Source organism: Homo sapiens, chromosome 2, assembly GCF_000001405.40.
Source record: "Homo sapiens chromosome 2, GRCh38.p14 Primary Assembly".
Lineage (NCBI taxonomy): Eukaryota > Metazoa > Chordata > Mammalia > Primates > Hominidae > Homo > Homo sapiens.
The window spans coordinates 157213286-157222017 of NC_000002.12; positions in this window are offsets into that span (position 1 = coordinate 157213286).

Below are 8732 nucleotides of genomic sequence, written 5' to 3' on the forward strand. Positions count from 1 at the left end.
TGCAGGTGCCAGGGGATTTTTAGTTTCTTGTTTTAGCATTCTCATCCTTCCTTCCTCTCTCATCATGACAGCCAAGATCTGCCTTGCTTTTTCATCAGTGCAAGATCATGTGCTTAAGTAACTTTTCTATTCCATTCTTAGTGATATACAGCATTTCTCATCTACTCCTACTCCAAACTGGTATCAGGGGTGTATGGAGGTTGCCTGCTTCTCTCTTAGTGGCAACACCTCCTTTATTTTCACGTGAGGAAAGGATTCAGAACAGGGCTAGACATTGCACCTTTCCCTCAACAGCAACCAATCATATCTACATTCCTGTATCACCAAAGAATTTGCCATGCTTCCAGTCCTACTCAGGAGCACCTGGTTAGGGCCCATGGACAAGCACTGGTGAGTGTTTGCAGATTCTCCTTTGTATGGGGTTTCCGTGGGTTCTCAACTACCACGCTGGCCTATTGGGCCTTTAAGTATTTTTTAAATGTTCAATTTGCATTAGTCAGGATTACCAAAAAAAGAGGACCAATAGGATGTATATAAAATGATTTATTATAAGGAATTGGCTTATGTGATTATGGGCACTGAGAAGTCCAAACCCAAGGGAGACAATGGTATAGATCCAGTCTGAGTCTGAAAGCCTGAGAAGCAGGAGAGCCAGTCATATCAGTTCCAGTGCCAGTCTGCGTCTGAAGGCAAAAGAAGACTGCTGTCCCACTTTGGAGGCATTTAGACAGATAGAAATAATTCTTTCTTAGCACTTTATTCTATTTAGGCCTTCACAGATTATTTTTTGTGGTTTGTTGTTGTTGTTGTTTTAGTAGAGACAAGGTTTCACCATGTTGCAGGCTGGTCTCAAATGCCTGACCTCAAGTGATCCACCCGCCTTGGCCTCCCAAAGTGCTGTGATTACAGGTGTGAGCCACTGCACTGGCCAGGCCTTCAGAGATTGCATGAGACCCACCTTCATTGAGAAGAGCAATATGTTTTACTCAGTCTACTGATTCAAATGCTAATCTCATCCAGAAACACTCTCACAGACAGACTCAGAATAATGTTTAACGAATATCTGGGCACTCGTTGGCCTTGTTAATTTGGCACATAAAATTAACCATCACACAGTTGTTTTCTTTTTATCTGATTTTATAGCTGCCATCTTTTTCTACTTTGTTCTGCCAAAGGCAAATTTAATGTGGCCCACCTCTCCTGGAGGGTCTTGACATCCTCTGAAATTCATTGTTCTTAGTTGCTTTGCAACCTCAACTATCTGATGAGTACAAATAAGACATAATTTTATAGATTAATTATTTTTATCATTAGAGTAGGAGCTTTTTATATCCAAAGTAGAAGCAGCTTTCCCAAATAGTCTTAACATTCAGGGTAAAAAACTTTTGAATCAAGTCATGTTCATTGAGCATCTGTCAGTTTGTTTGATTTTTTTCAATAACTGAAAAAAAATGAGTTAACAATGCAATGTCTCTAATCTTAATGCATTACAAATCTAGTTCATGGGATAGGATGGGACATATACTAAATAATACTGACAGTTTAGTGAGAATAAATTAATAATAATTTTATTTTAGCTAAGAGCCTACGTCACCAAGGCACATCACAATGTTCAAAAGTAACTATTCTGACTTCAAATTTTGCTTAAACCAATTCTATGTTGCTCAATATTTAAAACAGTAGTACCACTTGCCTCATTACTCACTTTATGATATACTTTTATTTCTATATTTTTCACATGCAAAACATTTATAATGGCATTTTTATCTTATTCCTGTTATTACTTTTAAGAATAAAATTGACCTTTTTTATTTTTTGAATGATCATGCTTGGCTCCTCTGAATGAAGCCATAGAATTTCATTCCTAAATTCTAACAAGCTAACACCATGCTTAACTAAATCTGTTCTTTTATGAAGAGTTTAGAGAACTAAAATATGATGGCCTTGAACAAGTTGTAAAGATATGCATCGTTTTCTTTGCTGAATAAAAGCATGGACATAGAAAGGTAGCTTGACAGCGATCGACAACATTTTTATATTAATGTTTCCCTCGTGGTAAACATAAAAACAGACCCACTTCCCACAATAAATATTATTTATGTATGACTATGTAAGAGTTTACTAAAATAACAATTTACTATTTTTGAAAATTATGTTAGAGAGATCTAAATATTTCTTAATTTCAATTTTGCATTTTTTAATATCATATTATACAAATAACTTTTTAAAGTTTAGAATACAAACATATCTGTGGGACCCTGAAATGTTCAAACCCTCTTGACACAGTGCCTATAAATGTATTATTAACAAAATGATCTTACTCTCATCCTTTTAATCAAGGCCAGGAGTGATGGTAAAGACAGAAAAGGTGACAGAGGCCAAACCACTAGTGGCCACAGCTCCATAGTTTCTGGATAAAATAATTTATACACTAACACTAACAGAAATAACCCCATTATACACCCTAAAGGGGAAAGGGTAGCTGTGTCAATAACGGATCATGCATGTTTATAGTTATTTAGATTCATGTAGTTAAACGTGATCATCTACAACTCATTTGTAATATGTTTGAAAAAACAGATGAAGACAGTATCATTGGAAACTTTTCATACTGATAGCTAAGTTCTGTACTTCTGCTACAAAGTTGAAAAATGTGTCCTAAAAGGCAAATATATAAAAACATTCCTGTGAGAAGGGATAGCAAATTGTTCCAAATCTATATAAACCTCGGCAGGTATAAATCCTGTAAAAGCTGAGCATTCCATTAACAATTTAGAGCATTCCATTAAACAATTCCAAATGTCATCAGAGTTTCTCCAACATATAAACCATATTTCTATCAAATTCTCCCCCATTTTTGACTATTTGTTGTTGATGCTATTGGTGTGGATGCCAAACTGAAATCTGTAAGAATTAACCAAGACAAGTACCTTAAAAATTGAGTTCCCACTCCCCTATACAAAGCAATATGACCAGAAATGCCCGAGCATGAAAATTATTACAATTTTGATCTCTTGAGATTTTCTGGAATCTTGCTGAAAAGGAAACTGTTCTATGAAACTGTTATTTTAAAGATCCATTTCAACTCCTCTGAAAATTATTAACTAAGAAGTAACAGCATCAAGTTAATTTTGTGGGCAGTGGCCAATTTCCACTTGCTCTTCTCCCTCTGTTTTCCCTGCTACAAACAGTAAAAAGATGTCAGTGCAGTTGGCTATTCCCTAACAGTAAAATTCCCCTCCCATTCTAAACAGTTGAGCAGACTCTCAGTACAGAATAAACTATTGGTCATGGGTCAGAGCCCACAGTTCTTTGCTCTTTGTCTTATTAATTTTTAAAAATATATGTGATGATCATCTCCTGAATTTCAATTTCCTGAAGACAATATGACAAATTTATTTTAACTATTCTGATGCAGAAAGCTAATTAAGTAAACTGGTTCAGCAACTGATCATGTTTCACTAATTTCAACCATCTGCCTCAACATTTGTTCCTATGTGTACCAGCTTTCATAGCTTCTTTCCTCTAATAGCAATTAATGAAACTGTTAATAAGCTACATATATCATACACTGTTATAACAATTTACCAAAGGGTAGCATTATGAGACAAATTATATTTAACAATTGTAGAAAAATGACTCTGATTATCAAATGTACAACATCAATTAGATTTTTTAAATTTATGCTTCTCAATTAATTATCTAATTAATTTGGTGCACATTCTATGTATAATTTGTAATTTTAAACTCCTGGTCAGATTTTGCCATCTATTTTTACATGCTGACTGCTTATATGAGGCACATATTAATGAAACATAACTTCCCTGCAAATTACTGAGCCTTGCTTTTATTTTCATTCATTGTGCTTTTTCATAAGCACTTTTTCAATTGTTGTGCAATGCATAAAAAGGCAAATTGTACTATTATCCAGTTTTTGCACTATATTCAAAGAATGATATATGCACACACATATATAATAATTTTAATTTTAAATGAGGTTAATTTATAAATATCTTTTACAAATATCTTTTAAAAATAAAACAGTACACCAAAAACCAAAAAATAAATGGCTTTTACGAAGTAAGTCCTATCTAATTTAAACTTCTACAATAGCATTATGGATCTGGTTACTCCTGTACAAATGAAAAATATAAAATATGATTTGACTTTGCCAAAGATTTGGTATTTATTTTCCTGGTACTTAAAAAAATTTAAAAAATGAACATTTCTTCAAAATATGTTTTATAAATACACGGTATTGATGAGTAAGTGCTGAAAGCTCAACTCATCAATACTCTGTAGTTCTCTGTTTAGCCACTACTCTGTCCAAGGGTATGTGAGTGCACACACACTCACTCATATTCAAAATCATAGTCTTCTCTATTGTAACCACTACATTTGCTTCGATAACCACATTTATGATATTATTATAGAGGAAAAAATCCTGGATATCATGACATCCAGGACATTTTTACAAAGCTCCAAGATGTGGATGATTCTACACATTCTCCCCACCAATAAGTTGTGTGGACAGCATAGACCTAATCTAAGGATTTTCAGCCTGGGCATGGTGGCTCACGTCTGTAATCCCAGCATTTTGGGAGTCTGAGGCGGGTGGATCACTTGTGATCAGGAGTTCAAAACCAGCCTGTCCAACATGATGAAACCCGTGACTACCAAAAATACAAAAATTAGCCGGGTGTGATGGCACATGACTGTGGTCTCAGCTAATTGGGAGGCTGAGATGAGAGGGTCACTTGAACTGGGAGGCAGAGGTTGCAGTGAGCATATGGCACACCTGCACCCAGCCTGGGTGACAGAGCAAGACTCTCTCTCCAAAAGAAAAAAAAAAAACCCTAAGGATCTTCAAAATGCTAATAAACAAGTACATATTGGTATGGTTTAGTTAGGAGCAAGGGTTGAAGGGGCACAATGAGATGCTAAGCAGTCTTGGTTCCCTTGTGTTTTGCATATTTTTACACAGCAAAGAAATTTCTATTGAAACTATTACTACTTTACTATTGTTATAAAAAGAGAATTGAGATAACCCAAAGAATAATAATCAAAATAATGCAAATGACAAGAATGAGATTCTTGGAAGAATGAGGAAAAAGGAATTGCTAAAAACATTAAGCAAAAATGACAGAATAGTTTGTCCTCCTTTAAACCTGCCCCAATTTTATTGTATAAATAACTTACATTTTACAATGGATACACTATATCTTAATTAAAATAATCAGTTTGAAAATACCCTAAACCAAAGAAGCAATAAAAATACTGAGAAACCCTGCCTTCTTCAAATCACAGGAGAATAATTCCACCCAGCTATCTTAGTCTGATTTATTGTCACTAAGCAGAATGCCACATACTGGGTAATTTAGAAACAGTAGAAGTTTATTTGGCTCATAGTTCTGCAAGCTGGGAAATCCATGATCAAGGGGTCATCTGGTGAGGGCCTTCTTGCTGCATTATTCCATGGTGAAAGGGCAGAAAGGCTGTGAATTCCCTTGCAGCCACGGCAAAAAGAAGACGACAAAAATAATGGTTTCTACTACTTTTTCTTTTCAGAATCCTGAGACGAGAACCTCTTGTGGTGAGAAGCACCAACAATCACCACAGAGGGTCCCCAAATTAGCTACTACTCTAGGGAGAACTAACTCCTGAGGTAATCTCAATTCTGGCTCCATTCCCCTTACCTAAAATAGTCTCTCAACTTTGACCTTGATAACACTGGCAGCAGATAAAGATGAAGACACACATCACAAATTCAACAAGTACCACTCACTGACTGGTAATGGGAAATTTGGTCTTAAAGGTTCCGTAGACCAGAGATATCTAACTCTGCAGGCTTCCTATGAATAAACACCCCATATCCTACCCTCTCTTTGACTACCACTCTAAACGTGGCCACTCAGCAGCCATCTTCCTTTGTAAAGGTGAAGCAGAAAAGTTCCAATGAGAAAAGTCATTGACAACTTTGCTTATTGGTAGTACACTAGTCATTTTTCAACCAAGCCTTCAAAGACTCAAATGTATTATCTTGAATACAAAGAGCAAAATCTAATATCTCTAACATTTTCAGGAAAATCAACTGTTTAGTATAGGGTTTTTTTTCTCTTTTAATAATGTCAATTTTTTTGGTTTTTTTTTTGTGTTGTTGTTGTTTTGGAGACAGGGTTTCACTCCCCTCTCCCAGGCATGAGTGCAGCGGCATGATCATGGCTCACTGCAGCCTCGATTTTGCAGGCTCGGGTGATTCTCCCACCTCAGCCTCCCGAGTAGCTGGGACTACAGGTGTGTGCCACCACGCTCAGCTAATTTTTTTGTATTTTTTGCAGAGAAGGGGATTTGCCATATTGTTCAGGCTGGTCTCAGACTCCTGGGCTCAAGAAACCCACCTGCCTTGGCCTCCCAAAGTGCTGGGATTACAGACATGAGCCACCATGCCTGGGCAACAATGTCACTTTTGAAAACCATATTTTTAAGAAAATTATTTAACCATTAATTATTTAGGCTGTAATAACAACTTGAGTTATTTTTTGATTATTAGTGAACTGTTTATAATGAAATAATTCCCTAATAATTCACAAGACATGTAGAACCCTTTCCTCTGATAAATTGTCCCTAATATGCTTCTCTTTTGCATAGAGTCCTTTGTCCTTCCTCTAAATTGGCTGTTATTTCTCACCATTGTCAATATGTTACTGCTTCTCATCTGCTCCCTTACTCTATGTACAATTGTCTGGGTAAGGTTTTGAAAGTGTGCCAACCTCTTCTCTGGAGTAAGCTCTGGACTGTCATTTATCATTTAGAGGGCTTTTTCATTTACTCCCTGGTTCACAATTTGGTTTCGCACCACAAACTAAAATCTGCCTTCTGGACCCATTGAGGTTCTCCATATTGTATATGTTATTGTTGTTTTCCCAGAGAGCATCATATGTTTAAAATAGATTGACTTGTGTTACCATAAATAAGAAATAAGAACTTGCCAGGAGTTTAATATATAGCCTAATGGCCTTAGAAAAATGCAAGCAGTTTTGACAAGTTTCGTTCTCATAGGCATTTTTGGTTTCCACCAAAAAATGACTTTTAAATAAGAAAAACATAGCTATTTCCATGGTGGCTAGCTCTGGCTCTTTAAATTAGGCCAACTCAAGTGCATACATATACTATAGATCCTTAAAGCAAGACTTAGGTATCCATCAGGGTTTATAGCTTTTATTGTGAACCTCCTCTTACTTATTCCCAATCTATTCCTTCATTTTATTTCTACTAAGCCTCAATTTTCTGGATCTGTGACTCCTGACTTTATTTCTGCTTATGGTATTTGAGCTTCAGTTTTGCCAGTGAATCTGGTTTGGCTACTATTCCCATTTTTTACTCCATTGGTTACATCTGGTAGAAATCTCTTGCTACAGCCCCAGGAAATAACACACACACACACACACACACACACACACATCTAGTCACAGGAACCCATACATCTACCCTTCACTCTGTATTGAGAGAGTATTTAGACTCCCAATCTCAAGGTCGTTGTGCATTAGAGCAAGTTCAACACTTATTGATAGTTTGCATCAATAGGAGGCAAGTTATCCTATATCTTCTGGCAAAGTGAAAGGCATGTGAAATGGGAAAATGGAAAACATTATTTCATGACTTTTTTCTTTTTCACATGCATTTAACCACCTCAGGATTAAATGTGCAGAAATGTAATCAGAAACATGAATAGAAAGTTAGTGATTACTTAATAAGATTGTTTAACTTTTTCAAAATCATGAAAATTGCCAGCCACAATTTTTAACAATCTGCCAACTACTCCATAAGATAAAGCAACAGGATGTTGAAGAAGTCTTTTCCTATTGTCTTGGAAATTTTGCTGAAGTTCCAATAATGAAAACAGTAGGAAATAAGTACATTCACTTTCTGAACAAATCCAAACAAACAAACAAACAAAGTAGATACACCTATGCTAGACTTAATTAAGATTATAGAAACTATCTAGTGATTCCATCAATCACACTGAACTATTTCCTGCCTATAGGAGAATTGGTAATAAATTAGAAAGGGAGATTGAAATAGATCATCCAGATAGAGAGTGCTGTGTCAATTCATTTTCTTTCCCCAAACTGTAAAGAAGAGAAAGGAACTGCTCCCCACCCACAAGCAAAGAAAGATTGGCATGCTTGCCAGTGAGACAAGCATTTAACTTTCCACATGAATATTTGCTAAGCTCTGACAATCTTGGAGAACCAGAAGTGAGTGAGGTGATTAGGTGTTTGGACAGTTTGTAATGTGTCTTAGGGAGATTGGGAGCATATGAACAACGAGATTGACATCTGCTTCCTGCTTGGAAAATTTTGAAGGCAGCAATATGAGTGGAGTGTCAGAGATGGGCAGGGTAAGACCATTCAGCTGTAAGGTCAGCTTGTCCTTACAGCAGTTGGTGTGGTTAGAAATCCTAAGTCCCCTTAAGCCAAATGATCACTACTTACAATAGCTGGGCTCAAACCAAGTTGATGCGGTTTTGTCCAAGATGGCTGCCTTCTGCCTTGAGAAGCTCCAATATAAGTGGCTAAGTGGGTTGTTCCCCCAATGTCAGAAAGTAAAAGGGGTCAGGCAGAGCTCAGAGCTCATTGCTCTGTCATTGAATGTGAGCAGGCTCTAAACAGAGTTTGTCATGTATGAGTGCAATCTCCTGGAGAAATCGTCATATGTTCTGGGCAAGAAGC